We start from the raw sequence: 24,856 nt of genomic DNA, 5'->3' as shown, positions 1-24,856 counted from the left end.
CTAGGATGAGTTCTTTCATTGTGGACTTTGTGTATTTTGATACTAGTCTACTTTTATACTCTCCAACTTGGAGTCTTTGGACTTTTAGAAGTCCTAACTTCAATATTTTAAAAAGTCAAGTAATAAAAATCAGGCATTTGTCCATGGTGCAAGTGCCCAGATTTCAAACACACCCAGTTTGTATGCATTTGACTGGGAATTTACGAATGCAGTGTGGCCACTCTTTATCTTATATAGCAAACTATACCCCTGGAATGTTGCACCTATAATCTCATTTAATCTTTACACAAAGCCTGTATTTTAGGTGACCTCATCTCTAGTTTATAGACAAGGAGACTGCAGAGTTCAGAGAGTCTATATTAAAAATTTACTGTCAGAGGCAGAATTTCAATCCAGTGCCATCTGGCTGGCTGGCCCACACAGCACTCAGCTTCATTTTAGAGAACAAGGTTCCTCTGACGTGCGTTTCTGTCACAGATATGCTTTGGATGGGGACCTTTCCTGGCTATTAGCAGTTTCTGTCCCTTGATGGGCCAGTCAAATATGAGAGGCAAAGAGATCACTGCACAGAAGGCCTTCTGATCCCTCAAGAAACTCTCGGTTTAATGAGAAGGCTGATGCGCTACCTGCTAAGTAAACCTGGCCTTACAGACCCACCATGCTCAGAAAGCCCCCCACTCTCCTTTTCCAGTGCAATCTCCTTTCTACCCTCAGATACAATATATAGCAGAACACCAGGAAGTCTCCCAGGCATTCTATTCTAGCCTTTATATTTTTCTGGTGTTAACAACTTAATATGTGCTCATGCTTCCTTTTATGGGTAAAGATAAGCCCCCACGATGGCAATCAGGGGACCGGTGTAGGAAATGCTGCATTACTCCAGCAAACATTTGACTGCACTTTCTCCAAGACAGGCATCATTGTGCCGGGCCCCAAGAACAGCTTCAGGTCCACACATCGGCAGGTGAGATAGCCTGGTCATGAATTATGAGAGGGCTTCTTTAAAAACCAAGGCCAGAGCTGTGTGTTCTGGGGTGGCCCCTGCTCTACATGACAGAAAGCTGTTCTAAGGAAGCCAAGGGCAGAGTCCAGGTCTCAGATAGGGTGGAGTTCTCTGCTTCAGAAACTCATCTCTGAGAAAGGGGGCCTGTCCAAGTGGCTTTTAAAAGGAAATTACTGCAATTATGTAGCTAGTTTTCATGTGTTTTTTTGAATTGAAAACTCAGGAACAACCTCAAGGTCAATGAGGAATACTGTGGATCTACAAATGCAGGGCACAAATAGTAAAACTATTGACAATAATTACCAATATTAAATGAATGTCTCCAATGTGCCGGTAATCATGGTACGTTCTTTTCATGTGTCACTCCATTGCACCTCACAACATTCTCTTAAGGTATTTATTGCCCTCTTTTAGAACTGCAGAAACTGAGGCAGGGAGAGGTTGAGCAAGTTGCACGGGGTCTTGCATTAAGCAAGGGATGGAACAGAAAGCTCTGCAGCCACTAGAAACGGTACTCGAAATGAATATGTATGGATTCAAAAACATGTACACGGTATGTTATTGAAGGGGAAAATGCAAGTTCCCAACTTGTGCGATCCCACTTTTTCTAGCTCACAAAAAGGAGTACCAGCTCACCCCATTAGGATGGTTATGATAAAACGAGAACATACAGAAAAGAGCAAGTGTTGGTGAGGATGTGGAGAAATGGGGACTGTTGATAGGAATGTAAAATGGTGTAGCCGCTGCAGAAAACAGCATGATGGTTTCTCAGAAATGTTAAAAAAGAAAATCCATATGATCTGGTAATTTCACTTCTTTGTATATGTTCAAAAGAACAGAAAGCAGAATCTCAAGGAGATATTTGTACACCCGTGTTTATAGTAGCATTATTCACAACAGCTAAAACACAAAAGCAAACCCAGTGCCCATTGATGGAAGAATGGAAAAACAAAATGTGATATGGCACAGCTCACTTTATTGCACATTGCTTTATTTTGCTTCTCAGATACTCCATTTTTTACAAATCAGGGGTTGTGGCAACTCTGAGTTGAGCAAATCTATTAGCACCATTTTTTTCTGATAGCATATGCTTGTTTCATGTCCTGTCACATTTTAATAACTCTCACAATATTTCAAAGTTCTTAATTATAATTATAGTGATCTGTGATCAGTCACCTTGGGCATTACCACTGTAATTGTTTTGAGGTGCAATGAACCTCACCCACGTAAGATGGCAAACTTAATGGATCCACATTGTGTGTATTCTGGCTGCTCTACTAACCAAACACTCCCTTCGTTTTTCCCCTCTCCTCAGATGGCCCTATTTTCTGAGACACATAGCATTGAAATTAGGCCAATTAGTAACCCTACAATGTCTGCAAAAAGTTCATATGAAAGGAAGAGTTACATGTCTCTCACTTTAAATCAAAGGCTAGAAATGATTAAGCTTAGTGAGGAGGGCATGTCAAAAGCTGAAATGGGCCAAAAGCTAGGCCTATTGTGCCAAACAGCCAAATTATGAACGCATAGGAATAACTTTTGAAAGAAATTTTAAAAGTGCCACTCCAGTGAACACATGAGCGATAAGAAAGCAAAACAATCTTATTGCTGATATGAAGAAAGTTTCAATGGTCTGAATAGAAAATCAAACTAGCCACAACATTCTCTCTAGTCAAAGCCTAATCCAGAGCAAAGCCCTAGGACTGAAGATGTTTTTCAATTCTATGAGGGCTGAGGGAGGTGGGGAAGCTGCAGAAGAAAAGTTTGGAGCTAGCAGAGTTTGATTAATGAAGTTTAAGAAAAAAAGCCATCTCCACAACAGAAAAGTACAATATGAAGCCACAGTGCTGATATAGAAGCTATGGCAAGTTATCCAGAAGATCTAGCTAAGATAATTGATGAAGGTAGCTCCGTTAAACAACAGATTTTTAATGTATACCAAACAACCTTATATTGCAAGAAGATGTCGTCTAGGACTTTTATAGCTAAAGAGACATCACTGCTGAGTTTCAGAGCTTTGAAAAACAGGTCTACACTCTTGTTAGAGGTTAATGCAACTCATGACTTTAAGTAGCAGCCAATGCTCATAAACCACTTCAAAAATCCTAGGGCTCTTAAAAATTATACTATATATACTCTACCTGTGTTCTATAAATAGAACAACAAAGATTAAATGACAGCTCATCGGTTTACAGTGTGGTTTACTGAATATTTTAAGCCCACTGTTGAGACCTACTGCTCAGAAAAAAAAGATTTATTTCAAAATATTACTGCTCATTGACAATGCACCTAGTCACCCAGGAGCTCTGATGAAGATGTACAAGGAAATTAATATTGTTTTCATACCTATTAACATAACATCCACTTTGCAGCTTATGGCTCAAAGAATAATTTCAACTTTCAAGTCTGATTATTTAAAACACACATTTCATAAGGCTATAGCTGCCATTGATAATGATTCATCTAATAGATTTGGGCCAAGTAAATTGAAAACCTCTGGAAAGTTTTCACCATTGTAGGTGCTATTAAGAACGTTTGTGATTTATGTAACAAAGTCAAAATATCCACATTAACAGGAGTTTGAAAGAGGTTTCCAACTCTCATGGATGACTTTGAGGGGCTCAAGACCTCTACACGTGATGAAAGTAGCAGGAGAACTAGAATTTGAATTGGAGCCTAAAGAATGTGACTATAATCTTATGATAAAACTTTGATAGATGAAAACTTGCTTCTTATGGATGAGCAAAGAAAGGGGTTTCTTGAGAAGGAATCAACTCCTGGTGAAGATACTACAAAAATTGTTAAAATAACAAAGGATTTAAAATGTTACATAAGCTTAGTTAATAAAGCAGCAGCAGGGTTTGAGAAGATTGACTCCAAATATATAAAAGAAATTCTACTGTCAGGAAAATGCCATCAAACAGCTTTCTACAGATAAATCTTTCCTGAAAGGAAGAATCAATTGCAGTGAACTTCACTGTTGCCTTATTTTAAGAAATTGCCACAGCCACCCCAACCTTTAGAACCCACCACTCTGATAAGTCAGCAACCATCAGCACTGAGGCAAGACCCTCCACCAGAAAAAACATTATATTAGTAACTGTTGGAAGGATCAGATGATCTTTAGCATTTTTTAGCAATAAACAATTTTTAATTAATGTATGTACATTGTTATTTTATAAACATGTTGTATTAGTCCTTATTTATGCTGCTGATAAAGACACACCCAAGACTGGGAAGAAAAAGAGGTTTAATTGGACTTACAGTTCTGCATGGCTGGGGAGGCCTCAGAATCACGGTGGGAGGTAAAAGGCACTTCTCACATGGTGGCAGCAAAAGAAAATGAGGAAGAAGCAAAAACAGAAATCCCTGATAAACCCATCAGATCTTGTGAGACTTATTAACTATCATGAGAATAGCACAGGAAAGGCTGGCCCCCATGATTCAATTACCTCCTCCTGGGTCCCTCTGATGATACATGGGAATTATAAGAGATACAATTCAAGTTGAGATTTGGGTGGGGACACAGCCAAACCATATCACATGTTATTGCACACTTAAACCACAGTACAGTGTAAACATAACTTTTATACACACTAGAAAACTAAAAAAAAAATGTGTGATAATTTATTGTGATATCTGCTTTATTCAGATGGTCTGGAACCAAGCCTGCAAAATCTCTGTGTTATTCCCGTTTATAATACAATGGAATATTATTCTGCCTTAAAAAGGAGGAATACTCTGACATGAACTACAACGTGGATGAACTACAACGTGGATGAACACTGAGGATATTATGCAAAAGTGAAATAAGGCAGTTACAAAAAACAAGTGCTGTATGAATCTAAGTATATAAGACACCTAGAGTAGTCAAATTCATAGAGACAGAAAGTAGAATGGCGGTTGCCAGGGCCTGGGAGGAGGAGGAAATAGGGAGTTATCACATAATAAGCACAGAGTTTCAGTTTTGCAAGATAAAAAGAGTTCTGGAAATTGGTTGCACAATGGTGTGGGTATATTTAAGACTATTGAACTTAAAACTGAAAGGAAGGAAGAAGGAAGGAAGGAAGGAAGGAGGGAGGGAGGGAGAGAGGGAGGGAGGGAGGGAAAGAAGAAAGGCAGGAAGGAAGGAAAGGGAAGGGAAGGGAAGGAAGGAAGGAGGGAGGAGGAAAATAAAGAAAAGAAAAAAATCAGGTTACAGTATGCATGAAAAAATATCCAAAAGGATATACAGCAATGAGTTGATAGTAAATTGCATTGGATTATCATTTTACAAATAAATATACCTAATTTTTGTTTGACTTTCTATTTTTTCTACAAAAAATGTGTTTTGTACTAGTAATAAGATTTTTTAAAATTATCTTCAAGACAAGAGAAAAGCCGTGAGAGGGAGTGAAAGCTGGAGTAGAGGAGAAGGAACCTACAATCCATGTACAAAGGGATGGAATGGACCACTGGTTCTGCAGGAGAGTGGTTCCAATCAGGCAGGCTGTGCACACTCCTCAAGTTAGGTTCTTGTGCTCAGATGCTCAGCCTTTGTGAAAGAGGAGCTTACGAGAATCCTGAATAACCAGAAGCAGGAGGTCTTCATCCACATTAAAGAGAACAGGTGGTGAGAATAGAGTCAGAGTTGTAATTCTGGGTGGAGATAGGCATCGCTGCAAGGAGGATCTTGTAATACACCTGTTTGAACACTGCACCAGAGGGTGGAGTCAGGCACAGTGAAGACTGGTAGGAGGGAGAGTCCCTTCTCTTGCCCACTACCAATTAAGATACCGAATTTAAAACTCAGAGATTAAAGGGATCTTAGAAAACATTCAGCCTAAACACCTCAATCCCCCAAAGAAATTTAAGCCCATGGAAGTGACATGATTTGCTTAGGGTTGCATAGACAGTTTTGTGGCAGACACCAGATTGTAATCCAGCTATCCTGAACATGTCTTCCTTATCAGTCCACCCATCCATCTATCCATTTATGCATGAATTTATTCATTCTTCCATTCTTCATTCACATTTATTGAGCATCAAATCTATACCAGGCTCTGAAAGAGCCACTCTACATCTCTTTATCCCCCCACAGTGCTCCATACAAAGTGTATTTGCAGAGAGATGAAATGTAGTAGAAAATGTCAGATGCAAGTTTATGCTTTGCTGCATTTTCACTTCTCTTTGTCATCACTGTTTGCATTATTGCTTATTCTTCACTTCACTCTGCAATGGTCACCTCATACACAACCAAACCACCACCATGAGAAGAGCTTCATAGAGAAGAGTGCTTTGGGGGCAGAATCTATGTGAGTGCTTCTCTTAAGCAGGTTTTTATAGTTAAGGATATGCTGTGTCTATGCTGGCCAACCTCTGCTTTTTGAACCATCATGCAGGAGGAAGGAGAGGGTCTGTCTGTCTTAAGCTAGTCATTGTAAAATCTGTTAGAAGTACAGCAGTAGTTGAATAAATATTAACTTTCTCCTCCATCTGTACACTTTTGCCTAATAGTTTTTTTTTTTTTTTTTTTTTTTTAGTTTTCACATCATCTGTCCCCTTTATCAGGACTATCTTCTAAGGCCAAGGAACAAAAATAAATGAGGGCAGAGTATTCCTCAGATTAGAAGAAAATAGCTTTGCCAAGTTGATCTACTTTGGGACAGAGGATGAGGAACTACAGCCCATGGGCCAAATGTCACTCTGACCCATCCATTGTTTTTGTCAATAAAGTTTTATTGGAATACAGCCTCATTCATTCATTTACATATTATCTATGACTGTTTTCTCTATAATGGCAGAGTGGAGCAGGAAGGACAGTGGCTCAGTATCCAGTAAAGATGAAAATATTTACTATTTCTGTCTTTATCAAAAAAGAAGGAAAGAAAGAATGAAAGAAAGGAAGGAAGGAAAGGGAAGGGAAGGAAGGAAGGAAGGAAGGGGAAGAAAGAAAGAAAGGAAGGAAAGAAAGAAAGAAAGAAAGAAAGAAAGAAAGAAAGAAAGAAAGAAAGAAAGAAAGAAGAAAGAAAGAGAGAAAGAAAGAAAGAAAGAAAGAAAGAAAGAAAGAAAGAAAGAAAGAAAGAAAGAAAGAAAGAAAAAAAGATAAAGACAATGGCCAACCTCTGATTTACAATGTGTTTGCTATTTTGTCAAGAGATGATTTACACATCCTATTTTCTTTTCCGGATCTCCAAGATGAAGTGGTGTACAATTGCAAGAATGACTAAAAGAAGGAGGAGCATATACTCTGCAGTTCTAACAGTCTGGGGACCACCTTTTACTAAATTCCTTCCATCCTTCTTTATAATAGTGATTGATGTTATGTGGCAGGCAGTGGAGAAATGTAACTGGTTTTCAACTGGTAGATAAGTTTGTTACATCTTAAGCATAGTAAAAAAGCCAGTGACTCCAGGAGTCACAATACATTGGAGTGGTTAACCTTGTGATACTGAAATGACTCATCAGAGTCCCTGACTTTACTACTATTAGTTTCCTTAGTTTCAATCTTCAGTCACTGTGTTCATGCTGCTAGTGTTCCTGAAAGTGCCCAATATGTGTCAGCTGCACAGGTTCTTGGTTTGCTGTAAGGGCTTTTTCAATTTTTTTCTTTTCTTTTTTTTTTTTTTTTTTTTTTTGAGATGGAGTCTCGCTCTGTCGCCCAGGCTGGAGTGCAGCGGCCCAATCTCGGCTCACTGCAAGCTCTGCTTCCCAAGTTCACGCCATTCTTCTGCCACAGCCTCCCGAGTAGCTGGAACTACAGATGCCTGCCACCACACTCGGCTGATTTTTTGCATTTTTAGCAGAGACGGGGTTTCTCCGTGTTAGCCAGGATGGTCTCGATCTCCTGACCTCGTTATCTGCTTGCCTCAGCCTCCCAAAGTGCTGGGATTACAGGCACGAGCCACTGCACCTGGCCAAATTTTTAAGAGCCTTTGACAACCCTTGGCAGCTGAAGAAACTGTGAAAGTTTCTGCTTTACTCCACAGCCTATGGATGCAAGCTATGGATTTAAGCAATAACAAGAAAAAGATGCTAAAATAATGTTAAGAACAGAACGTTTAACTCAATCTGGAGTTTCAAAGTCTAGATAGGAAGACAGGACACCGTGCATAGTTGAGGCAGAAAGGAACTTAATACAGGAAATTAAAAGCTTAAACAACTGTGGGATGAATTGGAGTCACGTTGGTCAGGAAATCTGGAAAAGCTAGAATCCAGGAAGCTGTGCAGAACTGGAAAATTCTCAAGAAGATGCACGGAAGGAAACTAATGGAAACTTTCTGCATCTATTGACACCTACTCCCTGATGGCTGCTGCTGAGAATAAGAACTTCTTCTCTTTTGCCTTCAAAATACCACACCAACACTTCTTCTTAGAAGAATCCAACCCTGAACCCTCCTGGCAAAAATCTAGAAAATGTGGTCCAAGGCTAGCTTCTCTCATGCAGGGAAGAACATAAAAGGAAGGAGAGGATAATGCTGAGTTGATATTAAATAACCCAGCATATTGGGGGATCCAGGAAGACTTCCTAAAGAATATGATACCAGAGACTGGGTTTTGAAAAATCAAAATTGGCCAATCCTTGGCCTTGGTCAATGATTCATCAAGAGAATTTCCCTTTCTAGACTACAAGAACCTGAATTAGGGAAGTACAGCCTTCCCAAGAAGCATTCATCTTATGCAACCAAATGAAGAGGTATCCATAAATAGCCTGATTTGCTCACCATTCTGTGTTCAAAATGGATAACTGAGAGCAATCTTTCTTTCCTAAAGAAAGAAAGATATGTTTTATAGTTATTAAAACCAAGAGCACTAGCCCTTCACATTACAAATGTAAGTGAGGAAGGATTTTTCTCCCAACATATTTCCTAAACAATGTGGAATTGTTGTGCCAAGAGATTGTGCAAGGGTGGGAAAATCGACCAACTACATGGTTGTTGGGCAATGCACAGAAGTCAGATCCTAGCATCCCTCCCGTAGCATTATTCTTTCTCTCCTTTGTGGCCCCCTCCCCTTCTTTTCAGAGACACACCAGGAACCTCCAAATAACCATCCCATTGGCAATTGATCCCTCATCTTTCCCTCAAGATTTACATTGACAGAAATCTCACAGTGCTGTGAAAGTAAAGGTGAAGCATCAGTTAAGCACCTACCATTTCTCTTGCTATGTTAGATGCTTTGTGTGCATGATTCAATTAAATCTTCTAAAGGACATTTGAGATAAGATTATTATCTGCACTTTCCAGGCAAGGAGGCAGAGGCCAAGAAAGATAGACTAATAATACTGAGGTCGCACATATACTCCTTTGCTCCATAGAAAATGGGGAGTAGGGAGACCCCACTTCTCTACTATAAATGAATCCTCTTTTTTTTTTTTTGGAATCCTGTATTCCGTGGGAGCATTCTTGGGTCACATAAAGGTCATCACACTCTCGGAGCTTTGCAAAACCATGGAGAACCTTAAATCCATCTCTTGAGACTTCTCTTCTTCCCTCCTTTACCCTAGAAAATGTGAAACAGTGAAATCACACCATGGCCAGAACAGTAGCCACCTTGGAATTCCCCACAGACCCCCAACTTCCCTCTGTGCCATTTTCCCAAAGACACAAAACCAAAAACCAAACAAAAATGGCTCCTTAGAGACTATAAGGTAGTCTAATATCGGTAGATTTTCAAATTTTCAGACCAAATTCACCTTTGGGTGTTTTATTTCATGTAAGTTATTGTGTTTTTCACCTTCCACTGTTTCTTTATTAGCCAAGTACGTACTAACTTGTGTTCAAAAAATTAAAAATACAGGAGTCAGGCACGGTGGCTCATGCCTGTAATCCCAGCACTTTGGGAGGCTGAGGCAGGCAGATCACTTAAAGTCAAAAGTTTGAGACCAGCCTGGCCAACATGATGAGACTCTGTCTCTACTAAAAATATAAAAATTAGTCAGGCATGGTGGCACACACTTATAATCCCAGCCACTTTGGAGGATGAGACAGGAGAATTGCTTGACCCAGGGAGGCAGATGTTGCAGTGAGCCAAGATCATGCCACTGCATTCCAGCCTGGGTGACAAAGTGAGACTCCATCTCAAAAAAAAAAAAAAGAAAAGAAAAAAAAAAGAAATAATAAATAAAAAATCTGTATAGATAGACCTGGAGAAAAATAAAATATATAAACACATTACAAATATAAAAATACTTAGGTCTTCTATAACACATGAGTTCAGCACTTTATTTTTCTCCTCCACATTCCATTTTGTGTATTTCCCAGTCTTGTCAATAATTCTTTGAAGTCTTGGGACCCGGATTGTTATTGTGACATTCTTTTAAACATTATAAATGTTCTGTGTGCTGAACGGATTTCAGGCTTTATTTCAGTTTTAGAGTCATAATAGTGACAACTAGACTTATCTCTTCTTTAATTGTTATCACTGCTTATTGCTAGTCCTTCTATATGGTAACCATCTTGTTCAGAGTCCTTAATTGTGTTTTATTACTCAGTCTGCAGTATGTCTTAAAAAATGTGCAAGGAGAGTTTATAGAATCAGTTTACAGATAATATATTTTGTCTCTTTTGCATATCCAGTGATATCATTCTCTTCCCTGTGTATGTGAATGCTAACTGGAATATATACGTAATATTCTTGGTGCATATCCTTTTCTTCGTCAAACTCTATAGATGCTGCCAAATTGTCTTCTGGCATTTAGTGTGCTAGGAAGAAGACTAAGGCCAGGCTAATTTTTATCTTCAGAAACTACCCATAGTTTTATGTCTGGATATTTACAGGGTTTTGTGTTAGTCTCAGTAGGCTGGAAGTTTCACCAAGCTACATAGATGGGAGGCTCTTATCCTTGAGTTTTCCTAAGTTGGGGTCAGCTCTTTCTGTCTACCATGAGTTTGCTTTGTTTTAGCTCAGGGATCATTGTTTTTTTTCATTCTTTACACACTTTGTCCCCTGTTCTCTCAATTCTGTAAGATTTTCTCAACTATGTTCTCCACAGCAGTGATACACTTTTAGGGAGCAACAATACTGCCTCTTTTTGCCTCTCACATGAGTTTAATTCCAGCCATTGATGCATATTCTTCTTACTTTATCCCATCACTATTCCCTGATATAAGCCATGTTTTGCCTTTATTTCCCTCCAGATCTTGCCTTCAGACTTCTGCTTCCATTTCAGAGAGACCAAGACTTCATGCAGTTTCTGAACATGCTGCGCAGTTGTCTAAAATAATCATCTAGATTTTATGGAAAATCATTTTCAAGATTGCTCTGCCTTCCTGAAGTTATTCCCTTCCCACTCACCCCTCAACACACATACCTTTTTTTTTTTTTTTTTTGCATCATTTTTCACCAGCCTCTTGGTGTTGTTGTTGCTGATAATATTGTTTGTTTTACTCATCCTCGGACAGGACAAGGTCAATTTGTCAGTATGTATTAATGCCAAGAAGAGTGATTTGCGCTGTGCGTTGCCTTCTTGGTCAAATTCTCATCTCAAATCCATGATTTGTGTTCAGAATCCAGTCTACCTCTTACTCAATAACCAGCTTTCACCTGTGATGCTCTTGCCTTGACTATGGTACCCCTTCCTCAGCCCTCAGCCCAGCTCCTGGTACTTAGAGATAATGCAAGATGGGACCAGCCCAATGCCCGGCATGCAGAGCTAGTCCCAGTGTCCCAAGTCTTCATGTCTTGGCAGCTGTCTCCAGAGCTTTGTCATGATTTCTTGCCGCCCTGTGGTCACTTTAATTGTCCCAATTCGTGCCCAGCAATTTGCTGTGATTTGCAGAATCTGGCTGGTTTGGGGGAAATGGGAAAAAGGGAGCTGAGGAAAGATAAATAATAATGTTTAAGAGACCAGCACCTCAGGAAGGGAAATAAGTGATTGCTTCATTTCCAATTGATGCAAAGCTTAGAGCTGAGTCTAGGTTCAGGGAGTGGGCAAAAGCAAAGCCTCTTCTTGCTTTCTCAGGGGAATTTTTCTCACGAAGGAAAGTAAGAGTATGCCACATTCTGGAGCCAACGTAGGTCTTTCTCAATCCAGATCCATCTACCCTGTCATTACTATGAATCGTTCCAGATTCTATCATTAGGCTGTACTGTTGGTCTTCATTTTCTTTCTCACCCACAGTTTTAACAGTTTTAATAAGAAAAACTGTGAGGTTCAGCTTTGGAAGGCCCCAGCCAGCTGCCATTTTGAACCAAAAGTCAGTGGGCAGCTTACTTTAAACTTTTCCAATTTCCAAGCAGCTATTATCTCAAAAAGTCAGAAAGAAGACATCCAAACATCTAAACCCCATGGTGGCCTAACCCTCTCTCTTCTACTCAGTCTGGTAGAAAACTTGTTCATAAAGCAAGAGAAAAAGATGACAAAGTATTATTATTATTATTATTATTATTTCCATTTTAGTAAATCTTCTTCACAGAATCTTTCAAACTGCCAGTTTAGTTTTCACTCAACATCTCAGCCTCTGCAGATTGTCCCACCAGCAGGCTCTCCACTACTCTACAGATTACCTCACGTCAAATCTGTGAAGTCCCATTTCTCAGGGACAGCCATGCAGCTTCCAGAGTCAGCCTTTGTCCTTCTCACTGGGAGGTCAGGGTGGTCTTTGCTGTGTAGGGTGGCTGAACTGGAGCCCTGTACTTATAATCTTGGAAGGAAGGTTACCTCAAACCTTCTGATCTTTACTTGTCAGTTTTAGACTTCCTTCTCATGTTTCATCCCCTTCAAATATAATTATCCTGCCCATCTCCCAGACCTCCACCCAGTTTAGGGGCTGAATTTCATTGAGTCTACACCAGGCAAAAAGACACACAATGCAAACCAAGAGAAAGACTAATTTGAAAAGCAACTAACATGATCAGGGTATATTCGTGTTAAGAACAGCATGACCATTAAGATCAAAGTCTCAGGACTCCCCAGATTCAAACCCCAGCTCTGCCACTTAGCACCTGTATAAATTTGAGCAAGTTATTTGACCTCTCTGTGCTTTATTTCCTCATCTGTAGAATAGGACAATAAGAGTCTCCACCTTATAGAGTTGTGTGAAGATTAAGTAAGTTAATATCTTCAAAGTGCTTTCAGAAATAAATGTCCAAGATCTGTCAGCTATTAACATCACCTACCACATGGAAAGTTCTTTCAGACATATTATTGTAGGCATTTCATCTACTTATCTGTTCTTCTTTCCAGGAGTATTTCCTCCACATAAGATGAATAATAGGAAACAAAGTCAGAGTCTTGTTACTAGATGCACAAGCACATCACTATCACCACTCCTCCCAAAAGAGAGCAGGATTACTCAGCTAAGCTTGGTAGCTCAGCATAGTGAGTGTATAACCAAGCCTGAGGTCTGAAGTGAAGATAACACCATGCTCTAGAATGGTCAGTTATCTGTGGCAGTCGCTGAGCCCACTCATCCATCCCTTTACCTAGACAAGAATGCCCAATTGCCTCTCCCACATAGGGACAGACTGAGAAATAGAGGTGATGTGACCAGTTGCTAGATGAAGACCTGGTCTGCTTACACATGGTGGCAAGATGTGAGAAAGAGAGTTCACCCTGAATGGGCCACACTCTGACAACCAATACCTTCCTTGAGGGCAAACTGGAAGCATATCCTCGAATAAACATGCTTTCCCCTCCCCAGTAATTTCTCCATAGCCTCCCCATAGCTCTGCCAGATAGATATGCTTACCCACAGATTCAAGTTGAGCATACTGAGGTTCCGAGTTTCAGGGGTAGAACCAAGATGACAATGAGGTGGTTCCCAGCCAACGTCCATGCTGTTTTCACCATACCCCACAGAAGTGATGTGTGCATGCAAAGGTGAGAACTTATCAAGTCTCTTCATTCAGTTGCTGAGCCAATTGCAGTAAAAGAATTCCTGAAGAACTTGGAAATCTTATCTGAGCTTAAGTCAGAGTCTTCTTAGGGTGTTTATCAGAGTAGGTCCTTCAGGTCCCCTTTGCTTAAGTACATTTCTGTCTCGTTCTCTACTAGTGCATTAAATCAAATCTGTTCAAATACCCAAATGCAGTACTCAAACAAGGTTTTCTCGGATCTCAGTGGGACTCATGTTTCCCAAATGTAAAAGGGAGTAGACTTTGTAGGATGTTGAGGGGACTACAACCAATGTGCAGGGTTTTGGACATACATTGAATGCTCATTTGTGAAATGATATATATTAAGTAATGTAGTCTTCCTGATATTTCCCGATGTTTCTAGACTCTCTCTCATCTTCTCTCATTCTGGCATTCAGACATAGTAGCATCAGGTGATTCAGAGAAGAGTAATAGTAACAGAAGAGTAAAGGCCTTTGAATCTTCAAAAGTTTAAATGTTGGTTCCAGACATAGAGAATACATAATAGGTCACAAATAAGCTGTTTCCTGTCTCCCAAAATTAAATGAAGATTCTATAGGATGAGATAATGGAATAAAGAAAATCCTTGGAAGTGAGCCCTATGTCTTGTCACCTGAGTGCTAGGTAAAGATGGGGGTGGGGTTGAAGACTGATAGAATCCCCATAAAGCTGGGGCTTCTACAACAGAGGGGACCTGATATGGTTCGATTATGTCCCCACCAAATCTCATCTTGAATTGTAATTCCTATAATTCTCACATGTCATGGGAGGGACCAGGTGGAGATCATTGAATCATGGGGGTGGTTTTCTCCATCATGTTCCCACGATAGTGAGTTAGTTCTCATGAGATCTCATGGTTTTATAAGGGGCTTCCCCCTTCACTGGACCCCACTGTGAAGAGGTGTCTTCTGCCATGATTGTAATTTTCCTGAGGCCTCCCAGCCTTGCGGAAGTGTGAGTTGATTAAACCACTTTTCTTTGTAAATTACCCAGTCTCTGGTATTTCTTCATAGCAGCATGAGAATGGACTAATACAGGGCCTGTACCTTGTTTGCCAGATAGGACCTGAGAAAGTGGCGAGTTCTCAGGTACTCAGCATAGTGTGCAAGCCAAATACATATTTACTATGCAGCCAAAGCAGCTAAGAGCCAGTGGACCTGAAAGAGCCCTGTGAGGTGAAGAAGGGGTATGAAGCAGACACTCATCTGGGCCAAAAAGAGGAGGCCACATAAGAACAAGCATAGCTTAACTGATGCCACCAAAGAGAAATGATGATCCAGGACAGATTCCTTTATTCCCTTCTCTCAAAATTTCAACAACAGGTGATGCCCCCACCTTTAAACAAAAAACCTGGACACATCACCTAGGTACAGAGAAGGGATCTCAAATTAACTGAGATCAAATTTCTAGCACCAGGGAGCAGAGGCTTGCTATACTTGCTGTACATATTAAGGTCTAGTATAAAAGAGAAAGGAAGTCACATATATTTTACAAATGTTGTAGCCTGAGTTTTATACCCGTTGCACAGCTGTTTTAGAATCTGTAGAATCTAGTTCAAGAAGACCCATAATTTAATGCAAATAATGGGTAAAACTGAAAGAAAAAAAATAGGATCATAGCTTCTTCCTCCCCGATACCTACTAAAATAAACACAGAATGGAGCCCGGTGCAGTGGCTCATGCCTGTAATCCCAGCAGTTTGGGAGGCCAAGGTGGGTGGATCACCTGAGGTCAGGAGTTTGAAAATAGTCTGGCCAACATGATGAACCCCATCTCTACTAAAAATACAAAAAGTAGCCAGGCGTGGTGGTGTGCGTCTGTAATCTCAGCATACTTGGGAGGCTGAGACATGAGAATTGCTTGAATCCATGAGATGGAGGTTATGGTGAGCCGAGATTACACCACTGCACTGCAGCCTGGATGACAGAGCAAGACTCCATCTAAAAATAAATAAATAAATAAATAAATACACACAAATTAGAAAAGAACAACAAGCCAAAAATTCACCAGGAACTGTTTAATAGGAAAAGACACTACAACTTTATCCAACAAACTTCAAAAACAGCAAATAAGAAAAGAAACAAGATTCTGGTCCACCAGAAACTAAAGCCATGCTCAATTTCTCAAAGATACAGTTAGGAAAAGAACTTGTAGGAACAGGGAACACGCACAAATAGACAGCGAAGGAAAAGGCCAAGAATGAATATTTGAGGCAAGAAGTCCCACATAACATTTGTCTATTCATCCATCCATTCATTCAGCAAATAATTGAGTGCCTACTCTATGTCAAGCACCATTCCAGGCACTTGAAGATAACAAGGAACAAAGCAGAGAAAAGCTGCTGTCCTATATTTTCATGGTGGTTGAGGGAAGAAGTAAATGATTTAAAAAAATGAAAGACAGTAAAAGATAAAATGCTTCTGATGATGTTAAGTGCCTTGAAGAAAAATAACAGAGATGGGCCGGGTGCGGTGGCTCACTCCTGTAATCCCAACACTTTGGGAGGCCAAGATGGGCAGATCATGAGGTCAGGAGTTCGAGACCAGCCTGGCTAACATGGTGAAACCCCATCTCTACTAAAAATATAAAATGTTAGCCAGGAATGGTGGCAGGTGCCTGTAATCCCAGCTACTCAGGAGGCTGAGGCAGGAGAATCGCTTGAACTCGGGAGGCAGAAGTTGCAGTGAGCCAAGACCAAGCCACTGCACTCCAGCCTGGGCAACAGAGAGAGACTCCATCTCAAAAAAAAAAAAAGAAAGAAAAATAACAGAGATGGGGGATGGAGGGTGCCACGTCATCTGCTATATACAACAGTATATATGAAAGTATATTTAATAGTATAAATGAGCAAAGACCTCATTGATATCCTGACATCTAAGCTTAGACCTGACAGATTTGAGGAAGGAAGCCATGTGGTTATCTGGGGGAAGAGTATTCTAGGCAGGGGAACTACACTGCAAAAGACCTGTGGACAGTGTGGGCCTGGCAGATTTGAGGCTCAACAAGAAAGCTAGCGTGACTGGGGCCAAGCGAGCCAAGGGATAGGAGAGTGTTGCCAGTGGCCATCACACAGAAGCCTAGGAAGCATTGAAGGGCTTTGGCTTGAGGAGGATTTTGAGCAGGAGAGTGTCGTGATATAACGAACATTTTTAGAAAATACAGCACTAGTGAAGCACGTTAGACTTTAGCAGAAAGAACAAGGGCCATCAGAGCCCAGCCTGTTGCAGTGCGCTGTGCTGAGATGGTGAATGAAGGGGAGATACAGCTGGTGGTGGGCCCTGATACAGCACACTTTGTGGACTCAGATGAAACCAGTGTGGAGTCAACCAGCAACTAGAACTGAGCTGTCAGCCCACACTCTGTATCCTCAGAGTCTGGAAGAATGTTCAGAAAGAAACAGCCAGCCCATAAATTTAACTAGAAATGACAAGACAAGACCACCTTATTAAAGATAAGGCAACAAAAGAACAATCATGTGTCCCCCACCTTGAATCAGGGCAAAGAGATGACGTGGGCAGAGCTCACCTAAGCCTGAGAAAAAAAGGGGGGAAATGGCATTTCAACTATGCAAACATTCTAGAGCACAGAAGAGAAAGGAAACACAATCTGCAAAAGAACAATAAAAAACTCAGTATGGAATCATTTATACAAGACTGAAAAACAAGACGATGAAGCAATATGCTGTGATGAAGAGGAAGATTACCGAGTTAAGGAAACAAGGAAGGGCCAAAGCAACATCTTCACAGATTAAATAAATAAATGTAAACCAGCAAAGAACTGACTGGGCTCGACTGAAAATTCAAACAATAGCATAAAAAAAGGCTTTAGGAATCACAGTGAATACAAAGGTAAAAGATAAAGCAAATAAATCGATCTGAAATGGTGATAAATAAAGACTTCGAAGTTGGCCCACATAAAGTTCACTTGTATTTCTCAAGTACAGCACCCAACAAAAGGAAGAGTATTCAGACGTGTAACTTCATGTCTGAAGTTTTTTCTGATGTTAGAAAACTATTATACTAAATCTGCAAATCATAAGAAAATGAATAAATTGGAAGAAAAACAACGTAATTTAAATAGAGATACTCAATGTATCCTGATCAATATTAACCATAGAGAATGCTTTCATCCAGGAAAAAAAAACAAGGGAGTGGAGAAATCAAGCTGATCTCTGACTTCTTCACATGAATGTTTTTCCAAAAGAAATCAGAGTAAAATCTACATAGTCAAATAAAGGAAAGTGTAACCCAAGAATATTAAAAGTGAACATATTCTCAAGCATGAAAGAATCCAGGGAATATATGGGCCATGTTGTAAAATATACTGGAAGATTAAATACAATCACAAGATAAATTTATTTACTTTTTTTAAACAAGCACATCTCTAGAGTGAAGAAGTTATGTTTAAGAGAACTAGTGTTTAGGACTAAATCCATTAAATAGTGTAGACAACACAACAGCAAAAATGTTGTTTGCAGAACAGAATGTGTTATCAATCATTTAAACTGAAAACTATAAAAGAAACAAAAATCAGGGGGCGAAAGAAAATGGGAGGAGATATTAAGAGTGGGAATCACTTGATTTTTCATAGTAGGAAGAAAATTCATGCCACATGAAAAACTGAAATATGTATGTTAAAAGTAAATAACATGGCACTAACTTACCTCGTTTCAGCATGTTTTTTACCTAAGCTTAGAAGAATATTTGAGGAAATAGTATCACTGGCAATGAAAGAAACATGATCTAAATTTCAGCAATTCCTTGAGTTTAACTTCAGTTTTTCTCTGGTTGCATTCGACTGAAGTTAAGTAAATGCTTTATTTCACTAAATATGGCCAGTATGATATTTAATTAACTAGCTGTTTACCTAAATAGCTTCCAATTCTTGCATTTTTTTGACACACACTGATATCTGGAATGATATCCACCAAAATTTAAGGCTGGCTATTTACTTCTTCGCTGGTGGAATTTTGGGGTGATTTGTTGCTTTCTTTGTACTTTCAAAAATATTTTAAAATTAGTTTATTATGAGCATGTATCATCTAATAAAAATAAAGTTTTATGTTTATTTTATTTTATATATATTTTTTGAGACAGAATCTTGCCCTGTCGCCCAGGCTGGAGTACAGTGGCACCATCTTAGCTCACTGTAGCCTCCGCCTCTGGGGTTCAAGTGATTCTCCTGCCTCAGCCTCCGGAGTAGCTGGGATTACAGGCGTGCACCACTATGCCCTGCTAATTTTTATATTATTAGTAGAGATGGGGTGTCATCATGTTGGCCAGGCTGGTCTTGAACTCCTGACCTCAGGTGATCTGCCCGCCTCGGCCTCCTAAAGTGTTGGGATTACAGGCATGAGGCACCGCGCCCAGCCAAAATAACATGTTTATAAACTACAATGAGATACCACTTCACATGCATTTCTGTCTTCCTGAATTTGACTACTCTGTGAATTTGAGGTGCTCTAGGTGCCTCATATAAGCGGAATCATATAGTACTGTATGTGTCTTTTGGTGACTGGCTTATTTCACTCAGCATAATGATCTCAAGGTTTATCCATGTTGTACCATATGTCAGAAGTGTACTGATGACTGTATTTTTTGAAAAAACAAAATGACTGCTATTTTTCAAAAAAAAGAAAGAAAAACAAGTATTGGAAAGGATGTGCAGAAAATGGAACCCCTGTGCACCGATGAGGGGAATGTAAAATGGTATAGCCATTGTGAAAAACAGTATGGCAGTTAGTCCCTCAGAAAATTTAACAATAGTATTACGCCATGATCCAGTATCTCCACTTCTGGGCATCTATCTCAAAGAATTGAAGGCAAGGTCTCACGGAGATATGTGTACACCCATGTTCATGGCAGCATTATTTACGACAGGTAAAAGAGGGTAGCACCTTAGTGTTTATCAATGTACATAGACGTATAAACAGTAAGTGGCATATACAATATACATACAATGAAATATGATTTAGCCTTAGAAAGCAAAACAGTTCAGATATATAGTACAACATGGATAAACCTTGAGGTCATTATGCTGAGTGAAATAAGCCAGTCATGAAAAGACACATACAGTACTATATTATTCTGCTTATATGAGGCACCTAAAGAACTTCAAATTTATAGAGTAGTGAAATTCGGGAAGACAAAAAGCAGAATGATGGTTTCCAGGGGTGGGAGAAGGGGAGAAGGAGGAGTTATTGTTTAACAGATGCAATTTCAGTTTTGCAAGATGAAAGAGGTTCTGGAGATGGATGGTGTCACAGTTTCACAATGGAAATATGCTTAATAACAGGGAACTGTACACTTAAAAATGGTTAAGATGGTTTTATGGTTAATGGTTTTATGTTATGTGTATTATACCATGATAAAAACGTTTTATTAAAAAAGTAAATAAATAAATAATAAATAATTTTAAATATGTACAATATTAGTGTAATAATAAATCACTACTAGATGGTGCCCTAAAACTGAAATTATTATTCACTAGTAATTGATTTATTGAAGGCCTTATATAAAGGTGCCATTTATTTTAAACATCACAACTTCATGAGCGTGTTCTCATTTTAAAGACGAGAAAGCTAAGGCTCAGATATGTTAATTGACAAATACAGCGTTTACACACTTCCAAGTTCTGAGAGAGAGTGGAAATTCATGTTTTTAATTCCAAGTCTATTCATCCATTCATCAGTTTTGTACTGAGGCCCCACTCTGTCCCACACATTATGTTTGCTCCACCATGATATAATTTCTAGACTTCTTCCTGATGACTAATTTTGACTAAGAATTTCCTCTTTAGTTGGTTAAAGAAAAGTATATGGCAATATTTCATACTGATTTAGAGACTCTAATTCATAAACTATCCCAAAATGGTGCATCTATTTAGTATTCCTTTCATCTTCTCTTTGAAGATGAAACAGTCACTGATTTTACATATACTCTGCATATTTATTTCATTTAAAAATACAGTATAATGAAATTGGAACCATGATGTTTGTTTATAACTGGTTCAACTGTACATGTAGACTGTGCACTTTCTATATGCAGTTCTATTTTACAATTTTAAAGTTTTTTTTTTTTAAAAAAGACTTAAACACAAGCATAACATCAGTTTGCTTCACTCAATAAATTCAATTTTGATGTGTGATAGATAGTAAAACATAGATGACCCAAATATTTATATAAATGTGTCTAGGATTATATATTATTTACCTATTGCTATTTGTCAAATTACCCCCAATATTAGTGGCTTACACAACAAATATATACTCCCTCACAGACTCTGGGTCCGGAATCCGGCCTTCACTTAGCGGAGCCCCTCAGGCTCACCCTCTTTCACCTTTCGCAGAGCTGAACTCCATGGGTTGACTGGGGTGGTCACCATAAAGCTCTACTGGGGAGAATCACCGACGTGGGTCTTGGCAGGTCTCAGGTATTTCCTGGCAGTTGATCAGAGACATCTGTTCCTTGCCACATAGATTTCTGATCACAATAAAAGTTTGCTTCTTCCACAGTGGGGTATCTCAGAGAAAGAGAAACCCAAGATGGAAGAAGAGTCTTTGTATAACCTAATGTCAGATGTTACTTCCAATCACTTCTGCCTTATTCTGCTCATTAGAAGTGAGTCACTAAATCCAGCCCACACTCAAAGGGAGAGGATTACACAAAAGTGTATAGGGCAGGAAGTGGGGGTCATTGAGAGCCATCATAGAAGCTGGTTGCCAAGAATACAAAAGCCACGTACCAAAATGTTAGCAATGATTGCCTCTAAATACTGGATCAGAATTACACTTGGTTTTTATATTTTTGTTGCTTCTCTGTTTTTCTAAATTGTTCACGGTGCAGATGCAGAAGTGGTCTGTATTTAAATTCTGCTTCTGTCACTCATCATCTGGATAACACATAAGACAAAGCTGTCAGTCTTACCAAGCCTTTGCTTCCCCAGTGCCAACCTCTTATAGTTATAAATATCAACATGATCTGTATGTAAAAGACTTACACAGTAGCACATTACAAGAGCTTATTATCCCAGCACGATGGCTCACACCTGTAATCCCAGTACTTTGGGAGGCAAAGATGGGAGGATCACTTGAGGTCAGGAGTTTGAGACTGGCCTGGGGTACTTAGTGAGAACTTGTCTCTACAAAAAGTTTTTAAAAAAATTAGCCAGGGACTGTGATGCACTCCTACAGTCCCAGCTACTCAGGAGGCTGAGGCAGGGGGATCGCTTGAGTCCAGGAGTTGGAGATTACAGTAAGGTGTGATTGTGCCACTGCCCTCCAGCCTGAGTGAAAAAGTGGGACCCTGTCTCTAAAATTAGTGCTTATTACTGGTCAATATGTAATTTTTAATATATTGAAAATTAGATGGTATGGTTTTATCCCCACTTATATTTTCAGTAGCAGGGAAAAGATATAAACACATAAAACACAGGAAAAATAAGAGCAAATAGTATAACAGCAAGTGCTAAAGTATGTAGGTGAGACAATAAATGAAGATATTAGAAATAAAGAGAAAATAGAAGATGAGGAAATTGTGGTAAAGGATACACTTCAGAGGAGGCAGGGCAGACTTTGAACAGGTTAGATGGCAGGATTAGAGGGTTTGAAATTCTAATGAGCTTCTTGTTTACTGAGGGCCTCATCCATGCCAGAGTATAAGAGTATAGTGCTGAACAAGGCAGAATATCTGCCTTCAAGAAACTCATAGCCTAAGAGACAAAGATATAAATGAAAAGAATCTTTCAAAATATTTGGTGACTTCAGAGCTAGAGATTAGCATTTGATCGATAGCTACTTATTAAGCACTTACTATGTGCAGACATTATAGTGGACACTCAAAACCACGACCCTCAAAGAGCTCATAATATAGTGCAGAAGATGGATAATTAAACAGGCTATTTTATGCTAATTTATTTGGCAATGTAATAAATGCTAAAGTGAGAAGAGAGATGAGATGGAAGAGCAGAGGAGGACAGAGGACTGCACAAGGAAGGCTTTCTGAGGCAGGTTATATCTAATTAAGCTGAGATTATGTTAGCCAAGCCAAGAGTTAGGGGAAGGAAGTTTTAGCTAAAGGAATACCCCAAGCACAGGGTTCTGTGATGCACAGAGAAGATGGCATAACTGAGACACCACGGGCAAGAGGATTTAGACAGGTGAATCAAGGCCAGAATCTAGAGTGTTCAAAACTACAAACAGGAAGCAGAGTGCATATTCAGAATCTACAGCAAGCAATGACACGGTGAATGCCCTGTTTAAGGACGGCCACACAGAGAACGTGTGGATAAGTGGTGAGCTCAGCACCTGGAGGGGAGGTGACCGTGACATCAGAGGTTGAGTTCACCTGGGGTCATCCTCCCAGGGTGATTTCCTAAAATGCCAATGGCATCTGGGCTGGAAATTCACTGCAGCTCATTCTAAGCTCTGCAGAATCATGTGACGCTTGCAGAAACAATTAGTCTCATGCATGATAGACAGAGTGTCTCAGAGAATGACAGAGAAGAAAAAGCTCTCAAAACAAATCAAAATACACCAAGACTCAAATGGGATCCTCACAGACAGTTTCTTCAATAAGATGGTGCCAGCAAAGGCAGAGGCTGACACAGGTTGGGAGAAGTTTTTAGTTGCCACCTTAGTGGGAAAACCATCTGATTTTACTCCTCCAGAGCACTGTGACTTTGGCCAAATTCCTTAATCCTTTTGACCCAAGTTTCACATCTCTAAAATAAGGATAATTAACCTCTATTTTACAGGACTGTTGCAGGGATAAAAGGAGATTATCACTATGCAGACACAAACCACTACTTCACTGTAAGCTAATTTTACTATTATTATGAGACAAAAAGTAGAGTGTCATTGTTAATGCTTGAATTCTGGAGTTCAAGCTTGGGTTCAAATCCCAGTTCTTTCAATTGCTAGCTGTATAATCTTAGACACGTTGCTTAACTCCCTGAGTCTCTTATTCTTTATCTACAAAATGGAGGAAATAATGGTAACTACTTCATAGGAGTTTTATGAGACATAAATTCTTAATTTATGTAAAATGTTAAAACAGTGCAGGCATACAGTAAACTCTCAATAAACATCAGCCATTAATATTTTATTAACAGTAGTGGTTGTAATAATAGCACCAGTACTAACAGTAGTAGTAGCATTTCTGGGCTCTACTGATCCTGATTTTTATACAATGTATACGTGAGTGGAAAATCACATATTGATGCAATTCAGATTGTTTAGCATCTCAAAATATTTTCATACATTTTGTGCTCTTCAAACCCAATTGCAGGCAGGGTTGCAGCATTATTCTGAGATTAAATATAAGGACAAACTTGGAGAAGTCACAAGAATTTCTTATGATCGCACAACCAGAAAAGGCTGTGCAAAGAGTTGAACCCAACTTTCCTGATGCTAAATTCCGTGTCCTTTCTCATACGTTCTCTCTCTGTGGTGGGTAGGGCGTGCTTTAATAATTTTGAGACGTCTCACCAGGAATTTTCTTTAGATTGAGCTAAAATCAGACTGTATGGGATCAGTGAGTGTTACTGTTCTTCTAAAAAGTGTTTGTCTTTTCCAGTCTTGTCTCAGCCTTTTCCTCCAAGAAGAAATTTTCAATTAACTATTAGCTTATGTTGCAAACATTTGTTCTTAAATGCACTCATTCATTCTTGTGGGTGATTAAGGATGATGGGTATATAAATATACAAGTACATAAATGACAAGTCAAACCATGTACATATGGTAATTTAATTTTGAGAGGAGTACCATGTTTATGCATTTCTATCAGCCTGCCTACTTTTGATGAATGTGTAATTTTTTTACCCACCATTTTATCATTGCCAATATTTAAGTAAATATCCTAAGTGTAGCACTAGATAAAAGCATCTATGCCATCCAGATAATTTGCAGCTGGGAAACATGAGCAATTTTTTTTTCTAGATTCTAAGTACATTGATGTTCCGTACTTCACTAACACTGTATGTTTCACAGGTGTCAGTGCTTTGGAATGTACCACTGTGT

General features: G+C 39.3%; 1 annotated feature.

The window, feature by feature from the left end:
* Nucleotides 7,187–7,236: an enhancer, noted in NCBI's record as "active region_27960". NCBI's record gives its function as "activates an Ori minimal core promoter by ATAC-STARR-seq in GM12878 lymphoblastoid cells {active_cell/tissue: GM12878}" and the evidence as "EXISTENCE:reporter gene assay evidence [ECO:0000049][PMID:35858748]".

The sequence above is a fragment of the Homo sapiens genome, chromosome 8, assembly GCF_000001405.40.
Source record: "Homo sapiens chromosome 8, GRCh38.p14 Primary Assembly".
NCBI lineage: Eukaryota > Metazoa > Chordata > Mammalia > Primates > Hominidae > Homo > Homo sapiens.
Note: the sequence above shows the minus strand (reverse complement) of the source record. Positions and strands in the feature narration are given on the sequence as shown.